General features: G+C 38.5%; 1 protein-coding gene across 10 annotated transcripts in view; it reads right to left on the bottom strand.

Annotated features, from left to right (window-relative positions):
- Positions 1-18299, bottom strand: part of PLEKHH2 (pleckstrin homology, MyTH4 and FERM domain containing H2) — a 130728-nt gene that overhangs the window by 64654 nt on the left and 47775 nt on the right. For 9 of the 10 annotated variants that reach the window (XR_001738621.2, XR_001738620.2, NM_172069.4 and 6 more), the window contains 5 exons: positions 10671-10820; positions 8820-8903; positions 8110-8191; positions 5978-6163; positions 2726-3687 (listed from right to left, as the gene is read on the bottom strand). Coding sequence is in view for 7 of the 10 variants with exons in the window: in NM_172069.4 (NP_742066.2) it covers positions 2726-3687; positions 5978-6163; positions 8110-8191; positions 8820-8903; positions 10671-10820 (1464 nt within the window). In the remaining 3 variants the exon portion in view is untranslated. Of the gene's footprint in view, positions 1-2252; positions 2325-2725; positions 3688-5977; positions 6164-8109; positions 8192-8819; positions 8904-10670; positions 10821-18299 lie in introns of those variants that run through there. The other variant, XM_047443342.1, reaches the window with a different exon arrangement.

Raw genomic sequence — 18299 nt, 5'->3', positions numbered from 1 at the left:
CTCTTCTCTTCTGAAAAATCTCTGAAACAGGTACTGGACAGGTTACTAGCCCTGCTCCCTTGAGAAAAGGGACCACAGGTGGTTCCTAATGCATAGAGCAACATGTCCTGAATTTAATAATGGGTCTAACTTGGACACAGTTGACTGTCCAGGACACAGTGGGCAACTAAGGCCATCCTCTTCAAGACAGCCAGTGGCTTGAGAGGCAACTGGCATGAGTTCTCCGACTATCAGGGACATTTTCGATTGAATAGTGCCTGGCTGAGTGAATCAGATGTAGTTTCTTTGAGTGTGAGATACACCCACACACAAACAGCAACAGAAAGACATATAACAATAAGGGCAGTAAGCAGGAGACGGGAGGCAGTCTGAAGCCCTAGGAGACTGGGGGAAAGTGGTTAGTAGTAGAATTAGAGAGAGGGGACTGGAGGCCTGGGAGGACAAGCTGAGCCACTGGGAGCAGGGGCAATGGATGTCACTTGTTTCTATCGGAGGTACTGCTGACTATCACATGTTGTCCCTCTAGAGTGACTATTGTAATTTGCATGGTATTCCAGTTCAATAAGGATAGGCTATGCCTTAAAATAAGCTCTTAGAAATTTTTAAAATAAACTCATATTTATTGAGGCAATTAGAATACATCTCTTTTCCTTGAAACCTGAAAATACCTAATAAACACAGAAATAAAATCTCAGACTTGGCCAGTCTGCTGGAAGGCTTTTGAAAAGCAATACTACTTTTTCAGGACCGAATAGCTTCAAAAGAGTAAGAGAAGACAGAATGGAAAAAAAAAAAAAAAAAAAAAAGTAGTAGAATGGGTTGCCAAATAAAACGAACTTAAAAGCCTAACCTAAATCTCTGAAAATCTCAACATCATAAGATAGGCAAAATTTCAATTTCTTGCTGCCTAAAGTATAACATAATTAGAATTCCAGAGATTCACATGCCATTAACTTCCACTTTCCTGTGCTATCCAAAATTTAGTAATAAACTACAGAAGGTTTCATGTGGATATTGAAATAAAATGTCCTCTTGAAAGCAAATAAGAGCACATACATCTTAAGTTCTGAATTTATATTAGAAAAACATGTCCACCCTAATTTGCTTAAAACTGCATCAGTCACAAAATAAAAAATATAGTAATAAAAGAACATGACTCCAAAAACCAAAAGAGTCCTGCAACCCAGATGTTTCTCTGGAGGCCAAAGGTTAAATTATGCCAGCATGTGAAGAAAAACTTAAATCTATAACAGATCATTTCAGACCAGGTGCAGTGGCGTGACACGCCTGTAATCCCAGCACTTTGGGAGGCTGAGGTGGGTGGATCACCTGAAGTCAGGCATTCAAGACCAGCCTGGCCAACATGGTGAAACCCCACCTCTACTAAAAATACAAAAAATTAGCCAGGTGTGGTGGTAAACGTCTGTAGTTCCAGCTACTTGGGAGGCTAAGGCAGGAGAATTGCCTGAACCCAGGTGGCAGAGGTTGCAGTGAGCTGAGATGGCGCCATTGCACTCTAGCCCGGGAGACAAGAGTGAAACTTCATCTCAAAAAAAAAAAAAAAAATTAAAATTAAACAGATCATTTCATTTTATTTCAAATATTGGAAGAATTTTTTTTTTTTTTTAGTCTAGCAGTGTTATCCTACTAATGGTCAATGTTTCAATGGAAGAAGATTTTATCTATTCTAGGTCTGTAGAAAGATACTTTGGAAACCAATGGCTATATAAGCTCAAAAAGAAAATTAAATTTATCTTAAAGCCAATCAAATAACGACTAAGTTCAAAAACTTATAACTAACAAGAGTTAAGTGTCCCGGTTCAGAATTCACCCAAAATATCACAGTTAGGGGGAACCCTTCTTTCCCACCTCCAATGTTTCCTTCCACATGGAGGAACCTCCAGTAATTGAACACTGCTGATCCCTCTCCACCTATTCACTTTCCCCTCCCCAAGAGGAAGAGTGGCTTAATGTGATTGGTAAGCTGAGAAGGAGAAACTGGGCATGCAGAGCCTGGCAACTTCCTCTCCCCTTTCTCTTGAGAAGTAGCTGCCTGCAGGAAACAACCATCTGTTCTGTTTTTTGAGGTAGTAAGTTTTAGAGGGGCATGGCTTCAGTAGCAGAATCCTGTGGTGGTCCAGGGCTTCCTGGGAACAGGTGACTCAATCCAGCTAATCTCAAAGTTCAGTATTAGAAAGCTCATTTGCCCACTAATTCTCTAAAATTAGTTTTATCAGTAAATAAGGTAATACCTTGATCTCCCATCTGTCTTGTCATTATCTTATTTCTCAATTGATTCAGAACTCAGTGAGGGAAGAGAAGAAGAAATTTTATCCTAAAAACTGGAAAACGTCAGAACAAAGCTGGATTTGAAAGGAAAGAAGAAAAGAAAAAGTAAAACTTGAAAATGAGTGTGGACACTTTGGGAGGCAAAGGCAGGTGGATCACTTGAGGTCAGGAGTTCAAGACCAGCCTGGCCAACATGGCGAAACCCCGTCTCTACCAAAAATACAAAAATTAGCCAGGCATGGTAGTGCATGCCTGTATCAGCTACTCAGGAGGCTGAGGCAGGAGAATCACTTGAACCCGGGAGATGGAGGTTGCAGTGAGCCAAGATCGCGCCACTGCACTCCAGCTTGGGCGACAGAGCGAGACTCCCTCCCAGAAAAAAAAAGTGTTGAGAAAAAAACTACTGCGTATGTGTTACATGCGGTGATATAATTACCCAAGAAGGAAAACGGTGCAGGGGAGGAGTTGGAGGTTTGCTGTATGCCACCTTCTTTGCTGAGTCACAGTGTTCCTGGTCATCTGAATTTGGAGAGTCCAAGGAGTCATAGGAAAATAATCCATCATCACAACTCGTGTCCATATTCTCTAAAACTTCTGTACTGTCTCCATCAACTAGATCAAGATCAGTTTCCTGAGGTCTCAGTGGTCGTATCATGCTTATAGCGTTTCTATTTGTACCAAACATCCTGTCAGAGCTTAACTGTGGCTGGCTTAAGTGCCTTTTGGCTAGTGCTACACTTATACTGAAAACATTAGGAATCCTTAACTTTGGGGGTGGCAGGTGTGATGAAGGCACTAATTGTGTTCCTTTTCCAGAGAGTGAGTTAGGATGCTTTGGCATTAAAGCTGGGGTCAAAATAGGGCTTGGGGTGTTGGCTTCACTCGATGAAGATGAATAATCGAGTCTCTGGGATTGAAATTTTTTATTCAGTTCATCCGAGGAACTATCTTGTTCCTTTTTACTTAATTCAGAATTTCCCTTTCCAAGAGGACTATTTAGAGCTTTCCACTGTGCCTCCTGCTGCCAAGAATATAGCTTCTTGTGTTCTGGTCTCTTTATGCCAAAAGTCTCTTCCTCAAATATAGAGCTGCTGTCATCAGATGCTGTCAGATACATTTCACTTCCCATCCTGCTACACTGGACCCCTTCCTCAGATGTGTGACTGGAGAGGGTGGATGTGCATCTGGACTTGGATCTTCCTTTGCTCCCGTCTTCCTCATCAGAGCTCCAGTCACTCACAGGAGCCCCAGAATTCTGGGAGATGCCACCATCTGTGGCAAAGCTTGTTCTTGTTTTCCGATTCTGTTCTGAGCCACAAGGGGTTTGATGCAATGTTCTCTGGCCTCTGTTGTTTTCTAGAACTTGGTTATCAACAGACTTTTCTGGAATTTCCATTTCTAGAAAAGGATACATCATATCAGCATGCTGCCTTTAAGAATATAATCTTTCTGTACATTTAGCTTTATGTAGCTACACTGTAGAAATTGACACTGTAGAAATTTGCTGGGTGCAGTGGTGTGTACCTGTAGTCCCAGCTACTTGGGAGGCTGAGGCAGGATGATTGCTTGAGCCCAGGAGCTGAAGTCTGCAGTGAGCTATGATCAGCCACTGCACTCCAGCCTGGGTGACAGAGCAAGACCCTGCCTCTATTTTTTTTAAAGGAATAAACCAAAAATTTCATACAAATAATTTACATTATCCTGTGTTAGTCTTATGTCTTTTTTAAACACAAGTTTTTGAAAACTATAAGCTTTATATAAAACTCAGAGCCCTAACATGTCAATATAATAGTTTCCAAATTGGTTTTTACAAAAAAACATGTTGGGAAAAAAAAAACTGAGAGTCTAAAGAGAGATAATAAAAGAAGCAAAATGTGAAACAGGGCAACTTTCACTATCAAAGAAAGCAGTCACCAAAAAAATGAACAGCATGAATTCTATTTTAGAAGGAAAGAAAATGACACCTCCTTTCAACTAAATATTTAGATTATAATGAAGTAAATTTAAGCATAATAAATACAAAGCTATAGTTTAATAAACAGACCTTGCACCAAACTTCGATACATTGAGATATGCAAAATCATGAAGAAAATATAAACACAGAAAAGCTTTCCTTGCTCTACTTTTGGTTTAATCATAACTACAAAATGTGTTTTTATAATAAGAATAACACTCTTTAAAAATATCTTTAGATATGGTTTATTTTTATGTATAACATAATTAACAGAATGAACCATTGGCTTCATAAACAAGGAATTAAACTTTTAGACTGAAGTGTAGAAAAGAAACTTTGAAAACATGAAAACATAGACAGGACCTTCATAATTAAGGAACTAGAGGCTGAACAAATAAACTCTAAAATTCGGTATTAGGAAGTTTGTTAAATTTGCAAATGAGCAAGAGCATCAGTACAAGCAATCTCAGCTGTACTCCACTATTAGAAAAAGGGAAGGAAATGAAAATGGCTTCTCAAAAGGCAAAAAAAAGATGCAAGTAGGCCGGGTGCAGTGGCTCACACCGGTAAATCCAGCACTTTTGGGAGGCCAAGGCTGGCAGATTGCTTGAGCCCAGGAGCTCAAGGCCAGCCTGAGCAACATGGTGAAACCCCATCTCTACAAAAAATACAAAAATTAACTAGGCATGGTGGCATGTGTCTATAGTCCTGGCTACTAGGGATGCTGAGGTGGGAGGATCACTTGAGTCTGGGAGGTCAAGGCCGCAGTGAGCTGTGATCGTGCCACTGCACTCCGGCCTGGGAGACAGAGTGAGATCCTGTCTCAAAAAAAAAAAAAAGAGAGAGAGAAGAGAAGAGCAAAGCGAGTAATGGCATGAAAGCAAGGAGCAAAGGAGCCTTCGGATTGGAAAATGTATCATTTTCAGAATTTCATAACCAAGCATAGAGACAACTTTTACTGTTATACTTTTTCTCTTCTGGGGGAAGGAAGTTGGAGCTGAAAGTAGAGAGGATGAAAACTCAGGCCTCTCTAAAATATTTGGGGAAAGTCAACAAAAGTGATTGTGCTAGAGGTGGCAAAGCCAACAGCTACAACAAAGCAAAATTTAGATGGATTTTTTCTTTTTTTTTGATAGAAGCACTTCAAGACTAAAAGAAGAAGAGTAGAAATCTGTATACAGGACCAGGGTTTAAATATCTAGGAAAACATTTTCCTCTTGGAAGGATTAAAGGAAAATCAAAGAGTTATCAATTTATCCCCTAGGGTTTTTTTCTTTAGAAGTTTGCTATGCCAATGTTTAATTTCATGTGTAATATTAAGTAATGTTTTATATTTTAAATAATGTTTTATGTGTAATATTAAGTAATGTTTTATATTTTAAATAAATAATGAATAGGAAATTCACAGTTCTAATCTGAAACTCAGCTAAAACAAGTACAGCATCTTGCAGATGGGACAGTAAACTTTTTAATTTTAAATACCCACCTTCCACCTACAGCAGGAAAAATATATTACGAAGGAAAAATCAGTTTCTCCTATGCAAAGGCTCTCAGAAAACACAAAATAATTAGACACACAAAGTTAAATGTTGTATTGCTCTTTAGAAACATTCTCATAAAACATCAAATTGTCAGAAAAAAATAAGGAAAATTAAGCTATATTTGGATTAATCTTAGCAAATGAGTCTTCCTTTTTAAAAAATGCCAAAGTCAATTCCTGTAGTTCATAAATACCTTCCATGTCTTTTCCTTCAGTGAACTCAGGTTCTTTCGATGATATCTTGCTCATTTCCTCAGATTTTACTACTTGAGGAGGACTCCTTGCTCGAGATAAAAAGCACCCAAAGGTCAAACTGCTCAGGCGCTGGCCTTCCGAAAGCTTTAGTGTAGAGACAGTGGATGACTTCTTTCCTTGAACTTCTACAACATCGTTAATCAAAATTAAGATTTGAATTTTTTATAGAAGTTTGTTAAACATAGAACCAAGGCATATAAAAACTTGAACAAATCACTCTTTATGCCAGAAAAAAAGCCTAAAGTTCATCTTTATTGATGTACAATAACATAGAACCTTCAATGACAAGCATCACATCCCAATGTTTAAATTCTGTTTTACATATTTTGAATGTTCAAAATATTTTTAACTGGAGAAAGAAAAATATCTAATCCCTTTAAGAGTAGTTAGTTCTAAGCAACGACAAAACACAAACAGATTATAAATAACTAGAGAGCTCTAGCTTCCTGCAAAGTCAAGTATTGACAAATACCAGTTCAGCGTTGGTAAAATTTGCACAGTATGCCACTGTGAAGAAAAAGAAACTGAGGTCCTGGTTGCCGAAATAACCAAAGAAACTTGGATCATCCTTGGGGCAACCATCCCATGATAACTGTAATGACTTTTGCTTATCTTAGTTTTCAGCCATGAGAAAAAAGTAGATGGGGAGGTTGGGTCTATGGTAACCACAATATAAAGAGCTTTAATCACTTCTTTAAAGAGAAAAAAAAAGAGGAGGTGAGTAAAGAATTTATACAGGTAGTGAAGTGATTAGGTCAGCATCTAATCATGAATTTAATTCATCTCTTGGACTTTTTTTTTTTTTTTTGAGACAGGGTGTCTCTTTGTTGCCCAGGCTGGAGTACAGTGGCATGATCATGGCTCACTGCAGCCCCAAACTCCCGGGCTCAAGTGATCCTCCCACCTCACCTCCCTAACCAGCCCCCAAGTAGCTGAGAGTATAGGTGTGTGCCACCATGGCCAGCTAATTAAAAAAAACTTTTTTTGTAGCGATGGGGTCTCACTATATTGCCAAGGCTGGTCTCAAACTCCTGGCCTCAAGCAGTCCTCTCACCTTGGCCTCCCAAAATGCTGGGATTACAGGAGTGAGCCACTGCGCCTGGCCCAGTGGCCCAGCCAAAAGTTATAAATAATTTTGGAGATATATGTTTTTTTTAAATAGACCAATCTCACCACTGATATTCTTGAGTTTATCAGCGGATTATCAATTGATTCTCCTAACTGACTGGATTCAAACCCTCATCTAGAAGATCCATATGGGGAAAGGATTAGAACACTGGTGATCCATGAACGAACTGAGTTATGACATTTGCATGCAAGTAACCACCAGCTCAGGCATCTAAGAACACATGGAAGTGCCTCAGAGCTACCCTCAATTAATGCCAAGTTCAATAATGTGTTCAGCATGTGTGATGCCAAGAAACCTCCTCCAAAGTGTTCAATGCAGCTACAAATGTATGGTATCTGTGACTCCCCTAATCTCCATTAAAAGGTCTATTCTCTAAGGCCAAAATTCAAGTCTTCTTGGACTTCTGGAGTGCATGTCTCTCTGATACAACTACCTCTAACTCACTATCTTGTGTGGTAAAGTCCCCTGTGTTCTTTCAAGAAAACAGGGAGATACAGAACTACATCACTTAGAAGGAGCAAAATGTCCTTACCATTAGAGATTGGTACCCATCATCCATATGTCTGACCTCCCAGGCTAATGTCTCTGTACAGTACTTTTAGCAAGCTGGACTCTCTGGAACTTAGTTTGGTTCTAAAAAGTGTACCAATGGAAGGTCTTTTAGAATAGAGAGAGGCAAAATTAGTATTTGGTCATGTTTTTCTGATCTACGTAGTGACCACTTTGGTAGACATCATCAATTCCATCTCTTTTTTGCCTTCCACTTTCAGGCCCAACATTCACTCGAATGCAGGACTTCTGGTTTGTTTAGTAATTCTCTTTCATTTTATGGCAACAGCTTCTTGGATGACATCCATAATCGCATCTTTAAAACATCAAAAAAAGTAAAAGCCTATATAGTCAAATAAATCCAACTAAGCTATCTTAGTAAAGTATTTGTACCTTGTAGTTTTGACTGCATTGTTCTTATCTCTTCAGTTTGGTTTTGGTTGATCAAACGAAGATTCTGATTCTCCAATTCCAGCTAAGAGAACATAATGGTATTCTTTTCATATAGAGATAATATTATAAAAATGTACTAATAAATTATAATATTAGAAAATGTTAATATTTAGTTTCTCTACATGTGTAAGCAAAATACAAAGGAAATGATAAACAAATCTCAGATTAATTTATCAGAATAGGCTATCGACCTAGATAATTATGGTATCAATATTTACATTTTTCAGAACTAAGAGTTTTAAATGTTTTCACCCCTTATGCCTTTTCCACTGTAAAATTATTTTAAAGGAAACGATTTCAGCTTTAAACTGCCATAGAAATGAAAACGTGTGCTTCTCAGCTACCAAATACATTAATTTTATGAGATATAGATGTATGTCCTATTATTATTTGAAATTAATTAGAACTAAAATTAACTTATTAGAATAAAGTTATTCACACTGATCCTCATGAGTCTATTAATATGTTTAATTTTTAAAATACACTGGATATTAAAATGAAAGCTACCTATATCTCATTTATCAAAAGATAGCAGTATCACCAACCGATCAAAATTCTTTGTTTTACTCAGAGTAATCACATATTCTGATGATGTATCAATTCAAAAGAAGTAAAAGGTAAAGAAAAGGAAAACATATAGCAATAAATACCTCATTTAACTTAACTGTTACCCATTCTTTTATCTTAGCTGCTTTCTCTTCTATTATTTTAGCTTCTTGTATTCTTATTTGTTTCTGAAATAACAATAGCAATTTGTTTAGTTCAAACATAAACTCAATGGTCTGGAAATGTTTTACCATAAATATACAAGGCATATCCACTTAAAACTTGATTCCAAGTTACTATATCTGCTTTCAAATTACCAAATAGGTTTTTAAAAGAAAAAATTATTCGGTAGATACAATAAGAAACCACAAAGCCACATGCATGTATTACTAGTTTTAACAACCGCTATTCTCTTTCTCTGAAAGATCATACACTGAAGTCAATCCACTGAATTTATCAACAAAATAAGCCATTTCTGGGAATGGTCTAGGATTTAGGGGTCAACCACGTTGGGGAGAAGAGAATAAGACTCTCCTTAGGGGCATGGCTTTTTTTTTCCCCTCAAATACTAGCTTTCAAAGATGCAAGAAAAATAAACATAGTGAAATTCTAGCTCTCATTTACCAGCCTTAAAATCTGGTTATGGTCACAAAACTATTGAGAATGTGTTTACCAAATAAATCGCAATAGGCAGGGTCTAGGGGTGGTAGAAAGCTGAAAACCACTGACCTAAAGAAACACTGGTCTTTATCAAGAAATGGGGAAAAAATGCTGAAAATAAACAACACATTTAACAAAATGATTTCATAGTGGTCATATTTAAATGATGTTAAGTGAGCATTAAGTACATAACCCCAATCCCCAGTGCAATTTTTTCCTTTTTTTTTTTTTTTTTGAGATGGAGTCTCGCTCAGTCGCCCAGGCTGGAGTGCAGTGGTGCAATCTCGGCTCACTGCAAGCTCCACCTCCTGGGTTCACGCCGCTCTCCTGCGTCAGCCTCCCAAGTAGCTGGGACTACAGGAGCCCGCCACCACGCCCGGCTAATTTTTTGTACTTTTAGCAGAGACGGGATTTCACCATGTTAGCCAGATGGTCTCGATCTCCTGACCTCGTGATCCACCTGCCTTGGCCTCCCAAAGTGCTGGGATTACAGGTGTGACTAATACATTTTTTAAACTAGATTACTTGATTCCAATAAAGTGGTTCAAAAATGGTGTACACATTTCTAAGCAGAAGGATTGGCATCAAATATAAATATTTAAAATGTAATGTTCTATAAACATTTCCAACATTCTAACAATCTGAAGCAAAGATGGGTTGCAAACAATTTAGGGGCATACCTGCTGATAACCAAATGTTCCCAACTTAAATACTACATTTAAACTCTAACATCTGGCTGGGCATGGTGGCTCATGCCTGTAATCCCAGCAGGTTGGGAGGCTGAGGTGTGTGGATCAGGAGTTCAAGACAGGCCTGGCCAACATGGCAAAACCCTTTCTCTTCTTAAAAAAAAAAATACAAAAATTAGCTGGGTGTCGTGGTGTATGCCCATAGTCCCAGCTACTCGGGAGGCTGAGGCACAAGAATCACTTGAACCTGTTGGTTGTGGGTGGACTTGCAGAGGTTGCAGTGAGCTGAGATCGAGCCACTGCACTTCAGCTTGGGTGACAGAGCAAGACTCTGTCTCAGATAAATAAATAAACTCAAATGTTTGAATATTAACGAGCATTCTCACATCCAAAAAGTGTTAGATCTTGCCTTGGAATCACTCTGAACTTAAAGGAATGCCATTTTACTTGCACCTTTCACCAATAAATGTGATGCAATCCTATGGGTTGACCGAATAAGCAATATTTCTCCCCAAATATAGAAATTTAGGCTCTCTCTTTTTAATCTTTGTGATTATGCACAAATGAGTGCACACACTTAGAACTCTTTATCAAATTCTTCCTAACCTGCTCTTCAAGTTGCAATTCCAAGTTTTGAATGACGTCATCTTTTTCCTGTATTAGCGACTCCAGATCTTGACACTTATTATATAATCTTGTCTCTGATTCACTGGTTTGAATATTAGCTGCTTTTAATTTATCTTCCATAACTTGTACCTAAATTCAAAGGATAAAATATTAAAATTGTGTGTGTACTCAGGTTATCACAGTATTAAACCTAGAATTTTACCTTAATATTATGTAGATTCCTAAAAGACTTCAAAAAGGAAAATATTAAACAGCAAGGTTTAATATATTTAATGATTATAAAGTCTCAAGCCTATTTCACCAAGTGGTGTTACCTTGGAGGTACATACAAACATAAGAAATTCTCAGAATATTGCTATCATATAAAGTAATGTACATGTTTCCTAGAGCGATGACAATATGCAAAGTGTTTATATGAGTATAGAAACAGAAAGTTTCCAGCCCTCATTTTTTCATATTTTAAACAAAGAGTATAAATTAACACAGGTGAGTGGTGAGGTGAGACCCAGACTGGATGGCCTGGTATAATAATGTATTATGGGAAAAAACTTGAACCTAGGTGAAAAAGAAACATATACACAATGGAAAGGGGGGTGGGAAAACAACCTTAAAGCCCCAAATGATGGAATCATAAAAAATAAAAATGTATTAGAGTCTAGATATAGGTAGGAGAGTACACTCAATGAGGGCTTCTTGATTCATTCATTTAACAAATATTCACTGAAAACCTGTCAAGTGTCCGGCTTATTCCAGGCCCTGAGAAAGCATCAGCAAATAAACTAGACCCCCAAATCTCTGCCTGCATAGAAATTACATTCTAGGCCTGGCACAGTGGCTCACACCTGTAATCCCAGCACTTTGGGAGGCCGAGGCAGGCAGATAGCTTGAGTCCAGGAGTTCAAGAAATTAATTCTAATGGGTAAGAGAGATCACAAATATAATAAATATGTTTTTTTAAAAAAAGAACAGTACTTTACATTACTCAGGTGATAATGATAGAGGCGGGAGGCAGACAAATGCCTAGGCAGATGGGGCAGGTCCCTGGTGAAACCCAACCTTCAAGCTGGAAACAGTCCCTGGTAAATCCTTGAACCAGATTGAGAACCTGCCTTCCCGTTTGGCACACTTTCTTTCGATTGATCCCATCCTTCACCTATTTTACATATACCTACCCTTTCCTAATTGGTTTTCTAAACTATCATGCCCACTTTTGAGTGATGTCTTTACTTTAACCTTTTTTGCTTACTCACAAGCCAATCAGCACGCACTCCCTATTCTGAGCCCATAAAAAGCCCCGGGCTCAGCCATATTGGGAAATCTCCTGCTTCGGGTGGGGGGACCACCCCCAACATCCCCTCTCCGCTAAAAGCTGTTTCATCATTCAATAAAACTTCCTGCCTTGCTCATTCTTTGAGTGTCCGTGCAACTACTTCTTCCTGGTCGTGAGACAAGAACCCAGATGTAGCTGAGCTAAGAAGCAAAAAATCCTGCATCAATAAGGGTAATGGGAAAAAAACAGAACAGGGTAAAAGAGACTGAGTGTGTGGCTGGAGGTTGAGTGGTGCTGCAAGTTTAATATCTAAGATAGATTGGCCCTGCTTGGATATTCTGTAAAACACATCCAGGCATATAAAATCTCAGAAAGGCATATCTGCATATTGTGTTTGCCAACCTACATGGATAATATAAGTCTATTCAACTCATAGTAAAGTTTAGATTTTCCTATCACCACCTTTTAGTTCTCACTTTTCTCTCCTTTAGTTCTTTGACTCACAAACTTGATCCTTGATTGTAGATGGTCTAGTTGATTGGATGCCTCAGCAGAAACTTCACAAGGAGATCCAAATAAGAGATGTTTGAGATGTTAATTGTAGTAAGAAGGAAAATAAAGTATTGAGTACTATATACAATATTAAGACTTTCATTCTACATACTCCAAATAGGTAAGACTAAAATTTTAGCAACGTTTCAGATTATAGAGGCAAAGAGAAAAAATAATGTGAAAGCATTTGAGAAATTAAAGATGATAGTTAAGATGAAAATCTGAAATTATTAAAAACACTTCTGAAAAGTCAAAAGGAATCCTTACTTAAAGCTAAAAAATATTTGACTAATGAGGGTTTTCTCCTGAAAAGGTATAAAGGTTGGTTTGGATTTATTTTTTTGAACCATGAATGCCAGGTTTCATCTGTGGGTTCACTGCATAAATGTAAATCAATTCAGATGCCAAAACTGTTCTATTTAAATACCAACCACATGGCTGGAAACTAGGAAAATAAAAGCACAAAAAAAAAAAGTTGAAGAAGAAGAAAAATGTATTCTACTATCCAAATGATAATTTAAGTTACCTTAGATTCTAAGAAATATAGTGGGCTTTCTGCATGAGCTGAAGGACAAAGATCTGTATCAAGACAAAGGTCTGCATCAGAAATGATGTCATGCAAAACTGCCCAAGCAGGACAGACAGCTGAACAGTAATCTTAAGATGGTATAGCTATAGCCAGTTCCACATACGACATTCTGTAGCTGAGGAAGCAGGGAACGAGGAGCAGAGCCCAAGTCCAAAATGATAGTTCTCCTCTGGGCACAGAGTAATAGAAGTAAACCTCAAGAAAAACAAAAGTAACTGAGTAAGAATAAAAATAAATGCTACCAGACCTACATCTAGTGTCCTTTTATTAAGTTAAAGCAAGCCACCCTACAGACATTGGGTTGCCACATAAAATAGTCCTATTGTTGCTTAGGAAAGGTCTATAGACCTGAAAAACTATGGTTTGGAACTACTCTTTTACCCTGAATAACACATTCAATTTGGAAGTTGTTATTGTATGAGTGAATGCTACAGAGCTCCTCGGATGCATCCTTGCTGTCTGAAGCTCTTTAATTCAACCATTACTTTTAGACAAACAATTTTCCTAGGCAAGAAAAATATTGGCAAAAGGGGCAAAATCTCTTAGAGAAAGAGACCACAAAGTAGTTACAAGCAACCTACTTACCAACTGATCCTATTAAGACCAAGTTCTGTAGACAGGATTTAGCCTTCTTTGGTAATTAATATGAATAAGAGGTCTACAGAAAAGCTAAGAGGTCCACAGAAAAGCCAAGATGCCTTTTAAAACATCTCACCACAACCATATGGAAAATAGCTCACTTGTTTTTCCATTCATTTAACCAGAACCATTTAAGAATTTTAACTACTCAGAGACTGGCCAATAACAAACACCTGTGAATTCAAATTGCTTGTTAAATAAACCCTCACAAATGTGTATACACGGATAGCCTCCAGTGTGGAATGCTTCCTGTTTTTAGGCTACTTTGCTTCTTTACTTCTAGGAGAACCTCTGATTGTATCCACCCACCTCAGCACACTCCTCACCCACTTCTCCCAAACCTTCTTGATCCCAAGGTCCCTAAACTCCTGTTCAGCAAAGGGTTAACTCAGTAGACTTGGGGTGTACAGATCCTCCACATTCCAAAGAAAGGACTGGTCCTTCACTGGCTCTTGGGAGACAACCTCTGATGCCCTGGAATATCTTGACTGTTAAGGCTGCCTTTGTATTAATATAAGTGAGATCTTGGGCCACACCACATAGTTTATGCTAATGGTCTGACTTATGGTGAGTGCCTGTTTTTGTGTTCACCTGGGGCCCTGGGCCAAAATTTATCAGTTTGACCTCTGGGTGGGCTGGAGACTGACTAAGATCAGTCAGGTGGATATTTCAGACCTACATGACTGACCTCTAATAAAAATCCTGGACACCAAGGCTTGAGTAAGCTTATTTGTTGGCAATGTTTCATACATGTTGTCACACATTGATGGGAGGATTAAGTGCATCCCTGTGCAACCCCACAGCAGAAAGACAACTGGAAGCTCATACCTGATTTCTCCTGGACACCACTCTATGTGCCCTTTTCCTTTGTTGATTTTAATCTGTATCTTTTCACTGTAATAAACGGTGACCATGAGCAAAACAGCTTTTCTGGGTCCCATGAGTTATTCTAGCAAATCACTGAACCCAAGAGTACTGTTGGGGATCCCAATACAGCTTCCAGGGCTATTTTCCATAGGAGAAAGCAGGAGCTGCAAATATTACTCCCATTGTAATTATTCATATCATTATTTCCTTCTTCCCATTTCTAACCTCATTCCTGTCCACTATACATAATCAAGATGTGACTGTATTTTTAAGAGGGGGTTGCAAGTTTCTATTTCTATATATAAATTGCTGTGGCATGACAAAGATTCCTGATTGTTTCCAAATAGAATGACAAAAGAAATTGTTTAGAGTATTTTAAATCCCAGACTACTTTCCAGTTACTTAAAATTTACTTGTTGATTTGTTTAGATTTGTTTAGATTGTTTAGATTCATACAATAACAACTTCCTTATAGATTCTGGATATTAGACCATTGTTGGATGCATAGTTGGTGAATATTTTCTCCTATTCTGTAGGCTGTATGTTTACTCTATTGATAGTTTCTTTTGCTGTGCAGAAGCTATGGGCAAAGGACATGAACAGACACTTCTCAAAAGAAAACACAGGCTGGGTGTGGTGGCTCATGCCTGTAGTCCCAACACTTTGGGAGGCCGAGGAGGGAGGACAGCTTGAGCCCAGGAGTTTGAGGCCAGCCTGGGCAAAAGAGTGGGAACGCATCTCTACAAAAAAAATTCTAAAATATTAGCTGAGTATAGTGGCATATGCCTGTGGTCCCAGCTACTCAAAAGGCCGAAGTGGGAGAATCACTTGAGCCTGAGAGGTCAAGGCTGCAGAGAGCCATGATCATGCTGCTGCACTCCAGCCTGGGCAACAGAGGAAGACCCTGTCTTGAAAAAAAAATAATTAAATAAAACAAAAGAAGATATACAGGCAGCCAAGAAACATATGAAAAAATGCTCATCATTGCTAATCACCAGAGAAATGCAAATCAAACAATAATGAGATACCATTTCACACCAGTCAGAATGGCTATTATTAAAAAAGTAAAAAATAACAGATGCTGGCAATGCTGTGGAGAAATGGGAACACTTATACACTGTTGGTGGGAATGTAAATTAGTTCAGCCACTATAAAAAGCAGTCAGAGGTTTCTCAAAGAAACAGAAGTACCATTTGACCCAGCAATCCAGTTACTGGGTATATAGTCAAAGGAAAATAAATCGTTCTACCAAAAAGACACATGCACTTCTATGTTTATCACAGTGCAATTCGCAATAGCAAAGACATGGAATCAACCAAGGTGCCCATCAATGGTGAGTTAGATAAAGAAAATGTGGTACATACACACCAGGGAACACTACACTGCCATAAAAAAGAATGAGATCATGTCCTTTGTAGCAACATGGATGCAACTGGAGGTCATTATCCTAAGAGAATTAATGCAGGAACTGAAAACTAAATACCACATGCTCTCACTTATAAGTGGGAGCTAAACATTAAATACACAAGGGCATAAAGATAGGGACAACAGACACTGAGGACTATGAGACAGGGAGCAAGAGACGGAGACATGGGCTGAAAAACTATTGGGTACTATGTTCACTGCCTGGGAGATGGAATCATCCATATCCCAAACCTCAGCATCACGTAATATAACCATGTAGCAAACCTGCACATGTACCCTCTGAGTCTAAAATAACAGTTAAAATTATTTTAAAATATAAATATATATAGAGAGAAGGGGGGACATGGCCAGATATAAGGCTGTAAATAAGGAGAGGGACACACGGATCTTTGCATGTCATGCTACACTACTTGGATGGGATCTCATAAGAAAGGGAAGGCCATATGTTTATAAAATATCTTTTTAAAGCTTCTTAGAAAACTTGAACTCAAGAATGTGTCAAAATTTACTGACATGTTATCAGTGAAATCAGCAAGTTGATTATAATTTTTATATGTTTAATGCAAATTAATTAATCATTCTAATCACATTTACAACACAATTATTTTGGCATAGTACTCCATGATTATAAAGTAGGATTCTTCTTGCAGAAGTTGAAAAGCAAGATCATTAAATAATTTGCTTTCCATATAATGAAGGGTGGGCCTCATATAGCAAAGCATTGCAATGTAATATCCATTACAAGGTCATGGATATTAGAATGACTGAGCAGTATTGATTTATTAAGAGTCAAAAATGACTTCAGGCCGGGCACAGTGGCTCACGCCTGAAATCCCAACACTTTGGGAGGCCAAGGCAGGGGGATCACCTGAGGTCAGGAGTTTGAGACCAGCCTGACCAACATGATGAAACACCGTCTCTACTATAAATACAAAAATTAGCCAGGTGTGGTGGCATGCACCTGTATTCCCAGCTACTCGGGAGGTGGAGGCAGGAGAAATGCTTGAACCCGGGAGGCAGAGGCTGCGGTGAGCCAGGATCATGCCACTGCACTCCAGCCTGGGCGACAGAGCAAGACTCAGTCTCAAAAAAGAAGAAGAAGAAGAAAGAAGAAGAAGAAGAGGAAGAGGAAGAAGGAAGAGGAAGAAGGAAGAAGAAAAAGAAGGAGAAGGAAGAAGAAGAGGAAGAAGAAGAAGAACTAACTTTACAGAAAGGGAAGATTAGCTCATGTGTTAGAATGGTCAGAGGCAACTTTAAATGTAGCTGCTACCATGCCTGAATCAAACACAGGCAAGGGATCAAGCCCAAAAGGATAAAATAAAAAGACACATACTTTTATAGGGGAATAATCTACCCCAGTTGGTCAGCATAAATAAATGTAATATATTAAGGTATCCACCTAATTAGATACTTGGGAATGAATCCCATATGTCAGTATTTTCCAAATATGCTCTTTGCTGCTTTTCTATCTCACAGGAGTACTCATAAGTAGAACTGGGTTGATTTGATCACATTGCTTCCAAACTTGTGAACAACAATAATAAAGATGCACTAGGGCCAGGCGTGGGTGGTGGCTCATGCCGGTAATCCCAGCACTTTGGAAGGCTGAGGCTGGAGGATTGCTTGAGCTGACAAGTTCGAGACTAATCTGGGTAATGTGGTGAGACATCGTCTCTACAAAAAAAAAAAAAAAAGGTTAAAAAACATTAACTGGGTGTGGTGGCACATGCCTGCAGCCCTAGCTACTCCAGAGGCTGAGGTGGGAGGATTGCTTGAGCACAGGAAACAGAAGTTGCAGTGAGCTGAGATCGCATCACTGCACTCCAGCCTGGATGACAGAGCAAGACCCTGTCTCAAAAGACAAACAAACAAAAAAAAGATGTACTAGAACATTAAGTATAAAGATCACCAAGATTTATCTGGCAATAAAATATTTATCTGTGACTTTTTTTCTGCAGACAATTTAGTTAATTGTTACAGAAGTGATGCCATTCATTGATAAACAAAGGGAAAAATGTACAAAGCTAAACTATAGAGTTGCACTGGCTTTAGCTGAGTACTGCTTTTAGTGGCAAAATATTCCTTTTTGGTTAAGATAAATACAGTTGTTTGAGTCTTAGGACATGGTTGAATGAGAAAAGGCAAGCTGATTTCAGCAACATAAACATCAGATAGGCCACAGTCCCATGGAAATTGTTAAAGATGGCGAAGGATTCAGTTACTCTAAGTTATTAACACTTAGTCTTGCAAAGGCCAAAAAAGGTGA

This window comes from Homo sapiens, chromosome 2 (genome assembly GCF_000001405.40).
Source record: "Homo sapiens chromosome 2, GRCh38.p14 Primary Assembly".
Lineage (NCBI taxonomy): Eukaryota > Metazoa > Chordata > Mammalia > Primates > Hominidae > Homo > Homo sapiens.
This window is presented reverse-complemented; position numbering and strand designations above follow the sequence as displayed.